General features: G+C 41.4%; 1 protein-coding gene and 1 long non-coding RNA gene across 5 annotated transcripts in view; both read right to left on the bottom strand.

Moving 5' to 3' along the window:
* The window catches only part of SPECC1L-ADORA2A (SPECC1L-ADORA2A readthrough (NMD candidate)), a 171,544-nt gene that overhangs the window by 68,806 nt on the left and 83,599 nt on the right, over positions 1 to 19,139 (bottom strand). The window contains 3 exon segments of the long non-coding RNA NR_103546.1: positions 4,235 to 4,337; positions 7,923 to 8,079; positions 10,211 to 10,294. This is a non-coding gene — a long non-coding RNA (SPECC1L-ADORA2A readthrough (NMD candidate)).
* SPECC1L (sperm antigen with calponin homology and coiled-coil domains 1 like) overlaps positions 1 to 19,139 on the bottom strand; it is a 146,908-nt gene that overhangs the window by 44,184 nt on the left and 83,585 nt on the right. For all 4 annotated transcript variants that reach the window (NM_015330.6, NM_001145468.4, NM_001254732.3 and 1 more), the window contains 3 exons: positions 10,211 to 10,294; positions 7,923 to 8,079; positions 4,235 to 4,337 (listed from right to left, as the gene is read on the bottom strand). In NM_015330.6, coding sequence (NP_056145.5) covers positions 4,235 to 4,337; positions 7,923 to 8,079; positions 10,211 to 10,294 — 344 coding nt within the window. The remainder of the gene's footprint in view (positions 1 to 4,234; positions 4,338 to 7,922; positions 8,080 to 10,210; positions 10,295 to 19,139) is intronic.

Raw genomic sequence — 19,139 nt, 5'->3', positions numbered from 1 at the left:
CCAGCACCATTTATTAAATAGGGAATCCTTTCCCCATTTCTTGTTTTTGTCAGGTCTGTCAAAGATCAGATGGTTGTAGATATGCAGCATTATTTCTGAGGGCTCTGTTCTGTTCCATTGGTCTATATCTCTATTTTGGTACCAGTACCATGCTGTTTTGGTTACTGTAGCCTTGTAGTATAGTTTGAAGTCAGGTAGTGTGATGCCTCCAGCTTTGTTCTTTTGGCTTAGGATTGACTTGGCAATGCAGGCCTTTTTTGGTTCCATATGAACTTTAAAGTAGTTTTTTCCAATTCTGTGAAGAAAGTCATTGGTAGCTTGATGGGGATGGCACTGAATCTATAAATTACCTTGGGCAGTATGGCCATTTTCATGATATTGATTCTTCCTACCCATGAGCATGGAACGTTCTTCCATTTGTTTGTATCCTCTTTTATTTCATTGAGCAGTGGTTTGTAGTTCTCCTTGAAGAGGTCCTTCATGTCCCTTATAAGTTGCATTCCTAGGTATTTTATTCTCTTTGAAGCAATTGTGAATGGGAGTTCACTCATGATTTGGCTCTCAGTTTGTCTGATATTGGTGTATAAGAATGCTTGTGATTTTTGCACATTGATTTTGTATCCTGAGACTTTGCTGAAGTTGCCTATCAGCTTAAGGAGATTCTGGGCTGAGATGATGGAGTTTTCTAGATATATAATCATGTCATCTGCAAACAGGGACAATTTGACTTCCTCTTTTCCTAACTGAATACTCTTTATTTCTTTCTCCTGCCTGACTGCCCTGGCCAGAACTTCCAACACTATGTTGAATAGGAGTGGTGAGAGAGGGCATCCCTGTCTTGTGCCAGTTTTCAAAGGGAACGCTTCCAGTTTTTACCCATTCAGTATGATATTGGCTGTGGGTTTGCCATAGATAGCTCTTATTATTTTGAGATACGTCCCATCAATACCTAATTTATTGAGAGTTTTTAGCATGAAGTGTTGTTGAATTTTGTCAAAGGCCTTTTCTGCATCTATTGAGATAATCATATGGTTTTTGTCACTGGTTCTGTTTATATGCTGGATTACATTTATTGATTTGCGTATGTTGAACCAGCCTTGCATCCCAGGGATGAAGCCCACATGATCATGGTGGATCCAGCAGCAGCTGGATTTCGTTTGCCAGTATTTTATTGAGGATTTTTGCATCAATGTTCATCAGGGATATTGATCTAAAATTCTCTTTTTTTGTTGTGTCTCTGCCAGGCTTTGGTATCAGGATGATGCTGGCCTCATAAAACGAGTTAGGGAGTATTCCCTCTTTTTCTATTGATTGGAATAATTTCGGAATGAATGGTACCAGCTCCTCCTTGTACCTCTGGTAGAATTCGGCCGTGAATCCATCTGGTCTTGGACTTTTTTTGGTTGGTAAGCTATTAATTATTGCCTCAATTTCAGAGCCTGTTATTGGTCTACTTCCTTAAGGAAGAAACTTAGATTACTGCTTTGAGATCTTTCCTCTTTGTAAAGGTGGGTGTTTATAAATTTCCCTTTGAGACCGGGCGCGGTGGCTCATGCTTGTAATCCCAGCAGTTTCGGAGGCTGAGGCAGGCAGATTACCTGAGGTAAGGAATTCAAGACCAGCCTGGCCAACATGGCGAAACCTCGTCTCTACTAAAATACAAAAATTAGCTGGGCATGATAGCACACGTTTGTAATCCCAGCTACTTGAGAGGCTGAGGCAGAAGAATCACTTGAGCCCGGGAGCCGGAGCCTGCCGTGAACCAAGGTCGCACCACTGCAGTCCAGCCTGGGTGACAGAATGAGACTCTGTCTCTCAATCGATCAATCAATCAATCAATCAATCAATGTCAATCCCCTTGAGAACTGCTTTCGCTGCCTCCCATAAATTTTGGTATGCTGCGTTCATTTTTGTTCTCAGAGCATTTTCTAATTTCCCTTGTGATTAATTTTTTGACCCACTGGTTATTTAGAGTGTGTGCTTTAATTTTCACTTATTTTCCAATTTTCCTTCAGCTACTAATTTCTAATCTTTCATTGTGATCAGAAAAAAATGAAGAAAATTTAAATGCTTTCCATCTTTTTATTTATTTCATTTTAATCTTTGTAGAGATAGGGCCTCCCGATGCTGCCCAGGCTGGTCTCAAACTACTGGGCTCAAGTGATCCTCTCATCTTGGCCTCACAAAATACTGGGACTACAGGCACGAGCCACCACATCTGGCCAATTTCAGTCTTTTTAAATTTAATGAGACTAGTTTTATGACCTAACATATGGCCTAACCTGCAATCTTCCATGTGCACCTGAGAGAAGAATGTGTATTCTGCTATTATTGGGTGCAGTGTTGTATAATGTCTTTAGGTCTGGTTGGTATACAGTACTATTCAAGTCTTCTATTCCCTTGCTGGTTTTCTATCTGGTCTTATCTCAATCTTTCTTTTTTTTCTTTTTGCAGTGGAGTTTTATTATCATGGTAAATATACATAAAAAATCATTTTAACCATCTTTAATTATACGGTTCAGTGGCATTAAGTATACTCATATGATTGTGCTACCATCACCACCATCCATCTCCAGTACTTTTTTCATTTTGTAAAACTAAACTGTGTACCCACCCCCTTTCTTTTTTCCCTCCCCCAGCCCCTGGCAACCATCATTCTACTTTTTGTCTCTATAAATATTACTAACTCTAGGTATTCCATATAATTAGAATCATGTAGTATTAGCCCTTTTGTATATGGCTTGTTTCATTTAGCACAATGTCTTCAGTGTGCATCGTGTTGTAGCATGTGTAAGAATTTCCTTCCTTTTTAAGGAAGAATGGTATTCCATTGTATTATATACCACAGGTTGTTTATCCATTCTTCTATCGACAGACACTTGGGTTGCTTCCACTTTTTGGCTACTGTGAATAACACTGCCACAAAAATGGGTGTGCCTAAAATATTTCTCCAAGTCTCTGCTTTCCTAGAAGTGGAATTTTCCAGAAGTGGAACTGCCAGATCATATGGTAATTCTGTTTACTTTTTTGAGGAACTGCCATACTATTTTCCACAGCAGTTACAACATTTTATAGGTCCCCTCCAACAAAACATAAGCCTGCCCATTTCTCCACATCTTTGCCAACACTACTTATCTCCTTTGTTAGCCAGTGGAAGCTGGCATGGAGATTCTTTTTTTAAATTATTTTCTCTTCTCTTTTTTACTTGCCACTGGCTTGAAGCTGAGACATGGAGAGTCTTAGTAAATCCTCAATGATTATCATGACTTTTCTGTATGTCCACTGCAATATGCTTGGCTCTTTAATCTTAAATGAGTTGAGGATCATCACTTAAAGTCATGTACAAATTCATCCAAAAGTGACCTGTTAATGGCAGATCTTCTTTTCCTCTACTAATGTTATTACCTCTTTTGCATGAAATTTGTATGCAAATGTTGTAGCCACACCTTTTATGCCATTTTGGTGAGATGAAGTCTAATGTGAAGAGATCAGGAACATAGAACTCCATTCCCTTTTTGTGTTGTACTTCTGTGCATTTGTGCCAAAGCATGAAATGCAATCAAGAGTACCAGCTGCAAGCTGGGGAGAATCTCTGTAACTAATACTGTATGTGAGGACACTAGAAATCAAAATTGTATTTTTTAGCAGAATGGATGAATTCTACAGGTTTCCCTTTTGTATGGAGAATTAGAGTCTGCTCTCCAAAGTTATATTTAACGTAACTTAAAAAAAGCATTTAACCTGGACTTAAGTAAGAAAGTGCTACAACAGATGAGTAATATTGGAAATATTGGGTACTGTGGAAAGGTAACAAACTTATTTCACCCAAGTGATAGTCAAGTTATGGCTGGACTTTGAGAATGTGTTCCTAACATTTTGTATAGGACTCATCATTTCTTCTTTTATCAGCTCACAGCAGCCTCTGCCTCCCAGGCTCAAGTGATCCTCCCACCTCAGCCTCTCAAGTAGCTGGGACTCCAGGCACACACCACCATGCCAGCTTATTATTATTTTTATTTTTGTAGAGACAGGGTTTTGCCATGTTGCCCAGGCTTGAACTCCTGGGCACAAGTGATCCATCTGCCTCAGCCTCCCAATGTGTTAGGATTATAGGTGTGATCCACCATGCCAGGTCAGGACTTATCATTTCTAATGTGTGACACGTAGTAAGCTACGACACTCCAGCAGTTGGTTTGCCAATTACTCACATGGGACAAAAGAATCATATGATTACCTGATAGCCTTCTGTTTTCTTCTGACACCACTTCAGCAAGGCGTTCCTCTTTGATCCTCCATATTCTCTGGCCAATGCTGAGAGAGGGTCTTTCCTTTCTTCTCTGAAAACAAGTAACCCAAAGTTGAAATATTTTTTGTTTGGGCACCAGAATAAGAGAAAAGTATTAAAGTTTGCATTTTTAAACAGGGGAAATATACATGGTAAGGCAATACAAAGGCAAGACATAGTTTTTCATACATTTGATTTTTAGTTTATGGCTCCATAGATGCACTGTTGTCAGAATTCTTTGCTAACTGAAGAAAGGGACTCTATAAAAATCACCCACATGGAAAGTGGCAAAGACAGTACAAAGTGCATTTAAAATTAAAATGTGCCGGGCGCTGTGGCTCACGCCTGTAATCCCAACACTTTGGGAGCCTGAGGCAGAGAGATCACCTGAAGTCAGGAGTTTGAGATCAGCCTGGCCAACATGGTGACACCTCATTGCTAATAAAAATATAAAAATTAGCTGGGCATGGTGGCGGGTGTCTGTAATCCCAGCTACTTGGGAGGCTGAGGCAGGAGAATCACTTGAACCCTAGAGATGGAGGTTGCAGTGAGCTGAGATTACGCCATTGCACTCCAGCCTGGGCAACAAGAGTGGCACTGTCTCAAATAATAATAATAAAATAAAATAACCGTTTATGTCCTTTACCATCTCATCATTTAAAAAAATTACTTATTGTAAAATATACAGGGTAAGGTTATGCAAGGTGCAGGATTCTAAGGCATAATAGTTCTCGCCTTTAAGAAGTCTACAATGGGGGGAAGCAGACAAAAGATGGCAATAAACATGAACAATATTTGTAACTTCCATGAAATGTCTCAGATGTATTTAGTTCTATGTTGTACACTGTTTTTTGACTTTAGGCAGTTAGAATTTTGCCTTGCTCAAAAATGGAATTTCTCTGTAAGCTCACTTATTCAACATCTCCTTATGGAGCACCATCGTGCCAGGCAATGTGCAGGCAGTAGGCAATTGAAGGTGAACAACACAGGGCCCCTATCCCAAGGAACTTCAGAGTTTACTATATGATAGTAAGTAAAACCACTGTAGAAGTTTGGGGGGGTTAAAATTCCGTGGCTATACATATGATTCATTTTTTAAAAATTCTATGTAGGGTACTTTATGGCATTGTCAACTGCCTTGTAGTCAAAATAAATATCCTGCCTTAGGCCAGACCTTTAATCAAAAAAGGTTTTGCAATCACCCCTGGTGAAGGGGCAGGGAAGACTTCCAATTCTACTCATTCTGCACCGTATCTTCCCTTTTGGTCACACTCTGGAAGTGGAACAGAACACCAAGGAATACCCAGAGAAAGGGAGTGCTGTGTAATGTAACCGGCAGCTTGACTAGTAGCCTGTGCTTAAAAGACTGGCCTATTTTTCAGTGATTATAGCAAAGTGGAGACTCTAGTCCCATGTTCTGTGAACTTAGCAGCCCAATAAATATCCTAAAGGTTCGTATGTTACAAGCAGCTTAGTATTCCTCAGTATATTTATTCTGTTAGTATTGACCCTCCAAAGTGCGCTAGGAAATCAAAGAGGACACATTTACAACAGAAGCTTTTCTAATTGAGAGGAGCCTTGAAATAGTACCAATTTTTATTGCTCTAAGAACCAAAAGGAAAAATACTACTTTTCTATGTGCAGTTAGACTGCCTCCTTGAAGGAAATATACATTTTTGTGTGCCAGCCTGTAACATTCCTGCTTTGCTTTAAATAAAGCAGGGACGTCCAATCTTTTGGCTTCCCTGGGCCACAATGGAAATAGAAGAATTGTCTTGGGCCACACATAAAGTACACTGACATGAACAATAGCGGATGAGCTAAAAAAAAATTGCAAAAAAAAAAATCTCATAATATTTTAAGAAAGTTTACAAATTTGTGTTGGGCCGCATTCAAAGCTGTCCTGGGCTGCGGGTTGGAGAAGCTTGCTTTAAAGGATTCCAAGAAGTTTGTTATACTATCACTAAACCACAGGGAAAGAGAAAGACACAGTTATGTGAATGGATGCAAAAAGGCACATCAAAAACAAAAAACAAACAAAAACTTGTCACGGCTCAACATAAAAGTCACTTTTTTAAAGACAGAGTCTCACTCTGAAGCCCAGGCTGGAGTGCAGTCGCACGATCTCGCTCACTGCATACTCTGGCTCCCAGGTTCAAGCGATTCTAGGGCCTCAGCCTCCCACGTAGCTGGGACTGCAGGTGCGCAAAACCAGATCAGGCTAATTTTTGTATTTTTAGTACAGATGGGGTTTCACCATGTTGGCCAGGCTGATCTCGAACTGCTGACCTCAAGTGATCTGCCCATCTCGGCCTCCCAGAGTGCTGGGATTACAGACGTGAGCCACCACACCCGGCTGCTTCCTTTAATTATTCTTAATGCTTGCCAACAATTTTCTTCATCCCTATAAACAACGTATGCTAAATTTTTGACATCTGTTTTTCCCCCAAGTTCTTAATACCTCTTAGTCCTAAGAGAACTATGAATAAAATATAAACTTAGATTTTCATGTACTTTTTATCAATTATTAATGTAGCACCACGTTCCCAGACTCCCAGTGTAAACAAACACAGCCATCTTTGATATCATCCATTCTTGCATTCCTTTTATAAAGATCTGTTACTGAAATCACCTTTCTTTATGAAAAATCTGGGTCCAACCCTCTCTTCACCTCTTTTCCACTGTTATCACACTGATCCAGACATGATAATTTATTTACATCACTTTATAGCTTCTACTACATCAAAGTGACTCAATTTGACTTTAAAGAAGTTCCAGGCCAGGCACGGTGGCTCACACCTGTAATCCCAGCACTTTGGGAGGCCGAGGCGGGTGGATCACGAGGTCAGGAGATCGAGACCATCCTGGCTAACACGGTGAAACCCCATCTCTACTAAAAACACAAAAAATTAGCCGGGCGAGGTGGCAGGCGCCTGTAGTCCCAGCTACTCGGGAGGCTGAGGCAAGAGAATGGCATGAACCCCAGGGGGCGGAGCCTGCAGTGAGCCGAGATCGCGCCACTGCACTCCAACCTGGGCGACAGCGAGGCTCCATCTCAAAAAAAAAAAAGAAAAGTTCCATCACTTTGCCATCCCCTGCCTAGTCAATCTTTTCTTCTACTGTTCCTTGATATGGTAGGTACACCTTCTTCTGGCCTTCTGTATCAGTCTACTGAATCTATAGAACCACCTACCTACAGCATCCCCCTCCATACTCCTCACTTACTAATCCCTTTGGTGCATCCCCTCAAGTTACTGACCTTGCCAATCATGCCCCCCACCCTCCCTGTCTACAACCTTCGAGGCCCCACTCAAATTCTAACCTTCTGGGATGCCTTCCCTAACACTCCACCCATTCCTCGGTATTTAAATTTCATAATACTTCGTTTTGCATGCAACCATTCTCTAAAAAAAAAAAAAAAAAGATACAGCTGCTTGAGGAAAGGAACTATCATTTTTAATTTGTCAGTGTCTTCTATACCATTTACTCAATTCTGGATATAAGAAAGATTCGCAAACAACACACAGAAAAAGAAAAATCACAGTGCTCAAATGCCATCATTTTACAACTTGATCATTTACTGTCAAAAGGCCAGGAAAGGTACACACGAAATGCATGAATATTAACTGTTCTCTACCTTATTCGGCTTCGGGTGGTGGGAGTCACAGATGCCGTTGGAGAAGAGGACAGGGAAAGCTGTGGAGACGTGGTTCCCATAGCCATCAGAGAGGCTGGCGACGCTCCCTCCTGTGCAGAAATGTCCCGTTTCACTTCTTCACTACTTCGTCGAGACACTGTGAGAAATAGTCATTATGCACTCTATAGCAAAAACATTTTAGACTGAGTTCTTGAGATTTTTTTTTTCTGAAGATTCCAAAAACAACAGATATTACCATACAGGAGGAAAAACTAATATTGATAACTGGAAAGTATTTCTTATTTTTCCATTAAAAAAACTGTGAGGCCAGGTGCAGTGGCTCACGCCTATAATCCCAGAACTTTGGGAGGCCGAGGCAGGCAGACCACTTGAGGTCAGGAGTTCCAGACCAGCCTGGCCAACATGGTGAAATCCTGTCTCTACTAAAAATACAAAAATTAGCCAGGCATGGTGGTGCATGCCTGTAATCCCAGCTACATGGGAGGCTGGGGCAGGAGAATTGCTTAAACCCGGGTGGTGGAGGTTGCAGTAAGCCAAGACTGCGCCACTCTGCACTCCAGCCTGGGCGACAGAGAGAGACTCCATCTCAAAAACAAAAAACAAACAAACAAAAAAACTGTGAAAAGGCATAGTTGAAATATGCACTGAACTCCATATTCCTTATAGACAAGGAGTGTGCCTTATCCATCTCTATAACCCTCACAGTACCTACCAAGCACATAGTGAGTACTACATAAACATCTGTTTAATTACAAATATAACTAAAAACCAAAGGCTAATTATAATCAGACTTGTAACTACTCAGCTCTGCCCAACACACACAATTCAAATCAATACAACCCTTCTAAATTCAGCCAAAAACACTGTTAAAGGGACAGAAAGGAAAGACATGCTTTATTACAGGGCTACATGCAATGCTAGCTCAGGGCACTTTTTTTTTTTTTTTTTTTGAGAGGGAGTCTCATTCTGTCACCCAGGCTGGAGTGCAGTGGCGCATCTCGGCTTACTGCAACTTCTGCCTCCTGGGTTCAAGTGATTCTCCTGCCTCAGCCTCCTGACTAGCTGGGATTACAGGCGCCTGCCACCATGCCAGGCTTATTTTTGTATTTTCAGTAGACACACGGTTTTGCCATGTTGGCCAGGCTGGTCTCGAACTCCTGACCTCAGGTGATCCGCCCACCTAGGCATCCCAAAGTGCTGGGATTACAGGCATGAGCCACCGCAACTGGCCTCAGGGCACATTTTAAAAAACTAAATCAATAAGACAGAAAACCAAAACGTATCAAGTCAACTGTTGGGAAATAGCAACAATCTTTTGCAAAAGTCCTATTCTGAAGTCTGGCATAGTAAGCCACTGTACTACCTCATTAGAATTACAAAATGTTCTGAGAACTGTTCAGTGGGAGTAGGCACTTTAGCCACTGGTACCAGATCCACAACAGCAGCTTTCTAAAGGCAGCACTGAGTATTGCCAGGTAATCAGAACGCAGGGCTGAGCACAGTGACAAGTCACATAGTCGACAAAGTTCCTGACCTCAGATTCTTTCTCACCTCAGAAGAAGGTGGATCTGCAGGCGCCATTAACTCTATCATTCCTGGGCTGATTTAATGCAATCCATGTTACATGTCAGTAATTGTTTTCCCCTGATTACTAAAAACTGCTGCCCCCACTCCCACCCCCACCCCCACCCCCACCGCCCACTTTACTGGCTAAAATTTTCTCAATGATTTTAGGATAACCACAAGCAGAATGTAACTCTGCATTAGTAAAGCAATGCCCTTAAAGATCCAGAGGGCACAAATATTTTCTCCTGTTATATGATCTTTAAATGACATGCTTATATATTTCTAGCATAATTTTATAATTATGTCTTTTTCGTTCAATGTCAATTCTTTATAGTCCTTAAATCAGTAGTTTCTTTTAAGTGGTGTGCTAGGAAACTGGATGAGAAAACCTCTCAGAACTTTATACAAAATAGAGGAAACAGACTGAGAAAGAATCTGAAGAACACACACACAGAAAAAGGCTTTGGGATGGTAATTTTAGCTGAGCACAGGACTTCCAATTGATTTAAAGCCCAGCTAGGCCGGGCACAGTGGCTCACACCTGTAATCCCAGCACTTTGGAAGGCCAAGGTGAGAGGACAGCTTGAGGCCAGTGAGAGCATAGCTTGAGGCCAGGAGTTTGAGATCAGCCTGGGCAACATAGTGAGATCCTGTCTCTAAAAAACAACAAATACAACAAAAATTCAGATGAAAGTCATCACCTGAGAGGGTCTTGGCACTTTCCATCGCAGGCACTCTTGGCAGGGAAGCAGGCCGGCTGGCTGAAGATGTTCTTAACAGATGCTCTGTACAAAGTAGAAAGAATCCCAATAAAGAAATCTGATGCTGAACTTTAAAGTAATAAAGGTACAAAGAAGGTGAGTTTTACTCCTTTCAGCCTTGAAGCTCATCCTTCTTCCCAATCCAGGGAACTTCAACAATTTCCCATAGTCTGTTTATCCAAAACAACTCACGTATACACAGAACACAGTAGAACATTCCATTCAATGTTTTATCTCTAGGAATGAGACGCCCCACACAGACGAATACTTCTGAATCCTGGGCTGCCACTTACCTGTTTGATGCAATTCCACCAAAATTCAAAGATCCTCTACTGCAACTAGGTCTACGCTACAAACTAAATGAAAGCTTTGCTTTCATGTGCCTACAGTTAGTGTGGAAGCTACACACATTAATATATACAACCACAGACAAGTCAGGATGGGATAATTAGAGTAACAGAATGACAAAAGTATTATCAAACCACAGAGAAGACATTCTCTTTGATTTCAGGCAGCAGGGTAGGCTTCGAAAAAACCAATGACATTAAGCTGGGCCTTACTGAAAAGAGGTGGGGAACTAGATTTTAGCCAACAACAGTCAGAGAAAGGTACAAACACATTCAAGTTAGAGAATAATAAAGGCTAAGTATGGCTAAAACATGGGGTATGTGGAAAACAAATAGGACAGCAGGGAAAGGGGCTTTAAAGGAGGATGAGGCTGATTAAGGAAAACCTTCATTACCTGGCATGTGGACTTTAGTCTGAGGGCAACAAGGAAGCATCAAACATTTTTGAGCCTTCAGGGAAGGACACAATCAGATATTGCTTCGACCATCTCCATTTTCAGCCTCACCTTGTTCTACTCCTCCCTTGTTCTCTAAACACAAGCTGTCTTGGGAGTTCCTTTAGTTCCTTGGGCATTGGCACCAGCTGTCCCCTCACCTCCTCCTCTATTCCCTCCTAATCCTGGCTAACCTGATCACCCTTCAGGTCTCAGTTGAACATCACTTCCCCAGGACCTGCTTCCCTGCCAGCCCCCACCAAACACAGACCGGAGTTGTCCTGCTGACTCTCTTCCTGCACACTTCTTACCTAGGGCTACAGCCCGACAAGACTCTTCAGACCAGGACACAGAGAGGCAGTCACAAGGACAACCAGAATTGTTCTTTCTGGTCACGGGCTGGTGTGTGACTGGGCTAAGAAAAACACCAAACCTTGTATGTAATGAAGACTCTCAGCCAAGAATGTCCACCAATCCTTTTTAAGAACTGACAATTTAAACATGATCCCTCCTAAAAATATAATGATGTCAAAAGTAATGGCATATCATGCTATCTCTTAAGGATAACATATATTCTGCACTCCAAAATTTCTTTTCTTTTCTCTTCTTTTTTCTTCTTTTTCCTCCTCCTTCTCCTCCTTCCTCTTCCTCTTCTTCTTCTTTCTCTCTCTCTCGTTTTTTGTTTTTTTGGAGGGGGCAGGAGAGGGGGGAACAGGATTTCTCTCTATTGTCCAGGCTGAAGTGCAGTGGTGCAATCTTGGCTCGCTGCAACCTCTGCCTCCCAGGCTCAAGTGATCCTCCTGCCTCAGCCTCCCAAGTACCTGGGACTACAGGTGTGAGCCACCACACCTGACTAATTTTTGTATTTTTTGTAGAGACAAGGTTTCACCATGTTGCCCAGGCTGGTCTCAAACTCTTGAGCCTCCTGGGTTCAAGCGATTCTCCCGTCTCAGCCTCCTGAGTAGCTGGGATTACAGGTGCCTGCCACCACACCAGGCTTGTTTCTGTATTTTCAGTAGAGACAGGGTTTTGCCATGTTGGCCAAAGTGCTGGGATTACAGGAGTGAGCCATTTCACCCAGCCTCTTTTTATTTTTTATTTATTTATTTATTTCTAAGACAGGACCTTGCTCTGTTGCCCAGGCTAGAGTGCAGTGGTGTGATCTTGGCTCACTGCCACCTTGACTTCTCAGGCTCAAGTGATCCTCCACCTCAGCCTCTTGAAGGGCTGGGACTATAGGTATGCACCATCACTTCTGGCTAGTTTTTTGCAGAGATGAGGTCTCACTATCTTGCCCAGGCTAATCTTGAACTCCTAAGCTAAAGCAATCCTCCCATCTTGGCCTCCCAAAGTGCTGGGATTACAGGCATGAGCCACCAAGTCTGGCTAAAATTTATTTTCTAAGGGTATGAGGAACATTTGGTTATAATTATTTGCTACTTTGGAGGCCTAGGGGAGTGGAAGGATGAGCTTAATAAAGATGGGATGTATATAGCTTAAAGAGTCCCTACAGTGTTCTTATCTTGAACAAACATCATCTCTGTGTAAACAACCCATAAGCAAGCATCACAGAATTCTGAACTCTGTTGGCAGTTGGCATTTACCCGTAAAGGAAGAGTATATTATGCCCAAAATCTGACAGACAAAACAAAGGCAAAAGAACATGGAAATAGTAGGAAACAAAGATCAATGTTTTACATTTAATCAAATTTTCCATTCTATAATTTTGACACCATGGTTATTTCCCTAAAAAATTTTAGTCTCCCAAAGAAGAACACAGCAAGCTAAGAAAGTGAAAACGAAGGTTGAAAAGACAAATAAATCAAAACAAGGTGCTTGCTATGGACACAGGCATAAGCCCTGGTCATTCCCTACATGAAAACTGTCTAAGTTATCTTAATTTTCTCTTTTACAATACACACTATAAGCACAATTGCAAAAAAAAAAAGTTCATGAAATGTATTGCTGATACATGTGCCCAACGCTGGCTGAGTCTGTTTCTTACTGCATGGTTAAGGATCCAAGTCTGCCTCAATCTGACAGACTGTCCCTGTCACAGCCTCACACTTACTTTCTGAAAATACACAAAAACGCACTGAGAACCCAAATAGGGTATTGTTTTAAAAATTATTTGTGTTAAATTTTAACAGCCACAATCCAGGCTGCTGCCATTTCATGAAGTATTTCCACTGTGAGAATCAAATCTGCCCAGAGGCACTTGTCACAGTAAGAACACAGGTCCATTTACTACTCTACTAAGTAGGCTGGCTTAAATGTTCATGTCAAACTGTTGGTTTATCCCTCTTCAGGAAATAAGATTAGTGTATTACAATTGAGTGTAGCAGGCAGGAGATATTATGTTTACAGTAACAGATTCTATTCTATTGCCATGTAAAGCTATTCTTGTCTTAATCCATTCATTAAACAAAAATCATTTAGGTGTCCACTACTTGCCAGGCACTTGGCTTGGTGCAAAGGTCAGAGAAAAAAAGAAAGCAGACAGGAAACTTGCTCTCATGGAACTTGGGGTCTAGAGTAGAAGCAAGCATTCAAAAAGTCATTACGAGTGAGGGATGCTAAGAAAAAACAAGTACCAGGGGTTCTGGGAACACAGCAGGCAATGTGACCTGGTCTTGAGGGGAGAACAGGAAAGGCCTCCTCAGGAAATGACAGCAAAGTTGAGATTAGAAGGATAATTAATAGTCTTTATGCAGGCAAAGGAGAGCTTAGAAGAAAAAGAGTGTTCCCAACTGAGTGCTTAGTATACCCCCAAAGAAATCTAGGACACTGTGGTGATGTTCAGTGGGAGGGGAAGAGCAGAGTGAGGTAAGCCTTCAAAGGTAGGCCAGAGGGGCCAGCTCAGGCAAGCGAGAGTCACGCAGGCAAACTCCAGGGTAAGGCGTTTGGACTTTATCTAGTTGGCAAAGGGGAGCCAATGTGAGGGACACAGATTCAAGGGCTCTTTGATGCAGCAGAATCAACAGACTTGCCGACAGATGGATATGAAGGTAAAAAGGAAGGAGGTACCACATACAGAGGTAAGAAAGGTGAGGAGGATTATGGAAGGAAGAGACGTGAACACATTTAATTTGAGAACCCTTTGAGATACCCAGGGAAAGATGTGGACCAGGCAATGAGAGAGAGAGTGCAGAAGAAAAGTCTGATGTGAATATTTTGTTTCGAAACTGTAAGCACACAGGTGATGGCGTGGGAGTGCACTCGGTGACATGGAGGTTACTGGTAATCTTGGTCAGAGCAATTAATACACTGGTGGGGACAAAAGTAAGATTAGAATGTGCTGAGAAGGGAGTGGGAGATAGGAAAGATGTGGAGAGAAACTGAGCAAGAGTAAGGAAGAAAGTATAGTAGCTGGTGGGCAACAGAGGGAGGATAGTTTTTTTTTCTTAACAAAGGAAAGATGTATTTTTAAATGACAGAAAGGAGCTCGCCGGTAAAGAGGGTAAAGTTGAAGATACAGGAGAAGGAAATAAACCATCAAGAGCATAAGGTTAACAGCATCTGACAAAGTCCAAGAGGAGGAGATCCAGGGGTCAGATAAGTGGATAAACGTAAACAGAGATACATTCTGATTACTTCAGACAGATACATAACATGGGCATGCTAGGTCTGCTAGTTAATTCTAATTGTAGAAATAAATAGTTACAGGTAGTTTTCCCTTTATTGTTTCCCAAATCAAACTTATAGGTAAATAGATTTTAAAATAGAAGCTTTGGTGATTGAGGCCAAGTGGGGCAGTTAAAATTTGGTCGAAAACCCAGTCTTACTGTCTTGAAGAACTAGACGACATATCCTGGGACAACCATAGCAGTTGGAAAGTGAGGCTGTGGGGAAAATACCAGAAAGGGAGAGTCACGAAAACAGAGCCAACAGTTTGTATACAAACTCTGTCCAAATCCTTCATTGACTTCTGAAGTCCACAAGTACTCATGCTCCAAAGAGCTGAATTATGGACAAAATAATTGAACAGGTATTTCAGTTGCAGGGAGGGTTTGGAGTCTGAGGTGAGCCAAGTTAACTGCTTGCTAAAACAAAAACCAATATTCTGCAGAGGAATATAATAGAATCAAGTCTCTCAGCCAGGCGCAATGGTTCTCACCTGTAATCCCAATAGTCTAGGAAGCTGACGCAGGAGGAGGAGCATGAGCCCAGGAGTTTAAGACCAGCCTGGGCAACACAGCAAGACCCCACCTCTACAAAAACATTAGCCGGACATGGTGGTGCACACCTGTAGCCCTAGCTACTTGGGGGACTGACGTGGGAGGACAGCTTGAGCCCAGGAAGTCGAGACTGCAGTGAGTGAGGATCACACCACTGCACTCCAACCTGGGTGACAGAGTGAGACTCTGCCTCAAAAAAAAAAAAAAAAACCAAAAAAAACAAAACACCTCTACAATATGTGATCCTTACACCCAAGACACAACTCAAAATTACTAGATGTACAAAGAAAAAAGAAAGTGAGCCATACTCAAAAGAAATGGAAACCTACCTGAACATGGCCTATGTCCTAGAAATGGCAGAAAAGAACTTAAAAGCAGCTATTACAAATGTGACCAGTATTATAAAGGAAAATATGCCCTCTGTGAATGAATAAATAGGAAAGCTCAGCTGAAAGCATTGTAAGAGGGTAAGACAGGCTCTCTGTCTGAGATGAAATGCAAAGGACAGCCTAAAACTGAAATTGGAGCAGGCATTAAGAAAAGCCCTCTGGAAAACTATTCCACACTCTAAACACAAAGTATTTACTGGAGAAACTGGAAGCCTGTTCTGCCCTGAGGGTAATCACAGCAACAATAAACCTCAAACCCAGCCCAGCTCCTGAGCAGATTAACTCAAACTCCCACATTTAAAGACCTAAGTAGAAGAAAAAAGGTGTCCATTTCAAGGCATAAAATCAACTACTATCCATGTAAGATGTCTAGCTTTCAATAAAGAATTGTAAAATATACAAAAAGCCAAGAAAAAGCCAACATACCCAGCTCACTACACCAGAACACAAAGTAATCAATAAAACCAAATGGTACGGATGTTGGAACTATCTATAAAGCATTTAAAATAACTATGATTAATATATCATTTTATATTTTTATAGAGATGAAGTCTCACTATGTTGCTCAGGCTAGTCTTAACTTCTTGGCTCAAGCAATCTTCTTGCCTTGGCCTCCCTGAGTGCTGGGATTACAGGTGTGAGCCAGTTTCCAGCCTCAGCCTTAAAAAGAAATTGTTTCATGCCACAAAATGGATGAACCTTGAAAACATGATATTAAGTGAAACAAGGTCTCTAAGGGAAAAGGCAGACAATATGCAAGATTGGCTAGGATTTCCTACTTGATTTTCTCTTATAGCTTCCATCTCTCTGCTGAAATTAGACAAATAAAACTGTGAAAACTGTATCTCTGATTTTCAACTGTGGGCAAATTTGCCCCCCCAGGGGATTATTAGAGTATCACCCCCATTCCCCCAGTTGTGACAACCAAAAATTAGAGGCATTTTTTGGTTGTCATAACTGGGGAGATGGGGGTGATACTGGGACTCTGGTGGGTAGAGAGCAGGGATACTGCTAAACTTCCTGTAATGCATAAAACAATCCCCCACAACAGTTATGTGGACGCCAATAAAGGCAAGGCTGACAAACCCTAACCTAAGGCAACCACTGAAAGAATTTAATGGATACAAATAATAAGTCAGTAGGAGAGATAAAACAAAGTAATAACAAATGGTCAATGGACCCAAGAGAAGGCAGAAAAAGGAAAAAGAAGCAGAATAGATGGGTCAAATACAAAACACGACAAGGTGGTAGATTTTAATCTAACCATAATAATAATCATATTAAACGAGAATGGTCTAAATCCACCAATTAAAAGACAAAATGTCAGAATGAATAAAAAAGACTGAACTATATACCGTCTACAAGAAACTTACTTTAAATCTAAAGACATAGATAAATTAAAAGGATGGAAAAAAATATACCATGCAAGCACTAACAGAAGGTTGGAGTAGGTACATCAATATCAGAAAAGAAAGACTTCAGAACAAGGGACATTATCAGAGATTTAAAAAATATAATAATAATAATAAAGGGGCTAGTTCTCTAAGAAGACATAACACATTCCCAAATGGGTATGCATCTACCAACAGAACTTTAAGATACATGAGGTAAAACCTGATAGAACTAAAAGGAGAAATAGAAATCCACAACTAGACTTTCAGAGTTCAAGACTATTCTCTCAGTAATTCCTAGAAACGAGCAGACAGAAATGAGTAAATACAGAAGACCCAGACTTGAACAATACAACCAACTAGATCTAACTGATATTTATAAAACACTCTGCCCAATAACAGCAAAATAAAAACATGCTGCCAAGTGAGAGAAGCCAGACTTAAAAAAAAAGCTGTATGCTGTATGATTTGATTTATATGACAGTCTAGAAAAGGTACAACTGTAGGGATGAAAAACATATCAGTGGTTGCTAGGGAATGGGGTGTATGGTAGGGGTTGACTACAAAGGGGCAGCATGAAGGAATTTTGGGGGTGATGGAACTCTTGTGTACAGAACTGTGTAACTATGATGACAGACAAATGGCTATGTGTTTGTCAAAACCCACAAAACTGTATACCAGATAGTGTAAATTTTACTGTATGTAAATTAAAAAAAAAACAGAACGGGGGGAGGGAGGGAGAGAAGGGGAGGAGAACAGAATGCAGACTATGACAAATTAATCTGACTGCATTACGAAACCATGACAGACCAACTGAAGTGAGTAGGGAAAAAGGAACTGGCTTAAGTAACTTTGTATATGTATAGTAAGGTTGAACAAATACATAAATATATTGTAGATAATGAGAGCCAAGTTTCTCACCCCCAAAAGAAAGAAGTTATAAGTAAGGGAAGGGAAAATTCTGGAATGAACCCATTGGTGATGGCTTGGAGTCAGGTATGAGTATAAACTTACAGTTTTTGATAGACAGGCAGACAGACAGACAAATAAGATAGTTAGATAGGTAGGTAGGTAGGTAGGTGGGTGGGTGGATAGGTAGGTAGACAGACAGACAGACAGGATAGTGTATACACATGAGTTGGTACATATACATACAATTTCCCTAGTTCTATCCAGAGAGGGACTAAAGGCTGTGAAACCCCAGTAGCAATGAGCACATTTAGCACCTGGATCTTGGTTTCCTTTTTTTTTTTTTTTTTTTTTTGAGATGGAGTCTCACTCTGTTGCCAAGCTGGAGTGCAGTGGCACGATCCTGGCTCATTGCAACCTCTGCCTCCCAGGTTCAAGTAATTCTCATGCCTCAGCCTCCTGAGTACCTGGGACTACAGGTGCACACCACCACGCTCAGCTAATTAATTTTTGTATTTTTAGTAGAGACAGGGTTTCACCATGTTTGCCAGGATGGTCTGGATCTCTTGACCTCCTGATCCGCCCACCTCGGCCTCCCAAAGTGCTGGGATTACAGGCATGAGCCACTGCGCCTGGCCTGGATCTTGGTTTCTAAATACTATTCTCTAATAAAAGTAACCAGAACTTGGCTGGGTGCAGTGGCTTATGCCTGTAATCCCAGCACTATGGGAGGCCGACGTGGGTGAATCACAAGGTCATGAGATGGCCAACATGGTGAAACCCTGTCTCTACTAAAGATACAAAAAAATTAGCCAGGTGTGGTGGCATGCACCTGTAATCCCAGCTACTTAAGAGGCTGAGACATGAGAATCACTTGAACCCAGGGGGCGCAGGTTGCAGCGAGCCGAGATCACACCGTTGCACTCCAGCGACAGGGTGAGACTCTGTCTCAAAAAAAAAAAAAAAGAGTAACCAGAACTCCTTAAAGAAATGGTTGACTCCAGGGCTGGTGCAGGAAAAAAAACCAAGATAGGCTGGAGCATCTTGTAGTGCCAGAAAGTACTTCAGGGGTGGAGGGAAGGTGCATTGAGAAAGCAAGGAGTCAATGTGAAAGATCTCTCAACAGCCACTGATGGAATAACCTGACAACAAAACAAATAAAAATGGTAGTAGATTATAATCCAAAGAACAAATATCCATGAGTCTATACTAATATAAATG

The sequence above is a fragment of the Homo sapiens genome, chromosome 22, assembly GCF_000001405.40.
Source record: "Homo sapiens chromosome 22, GRCh38.p14 Primary Assembly".
Lineage (NCBI taxonomy): Eukaryota > Metazoa > Chordata > Mammalia > Primates > Hominidae > Homo > Homo sapiens.
This window is presented reverse-complemented; position numbering and strand designations above follow the sequence as displayed.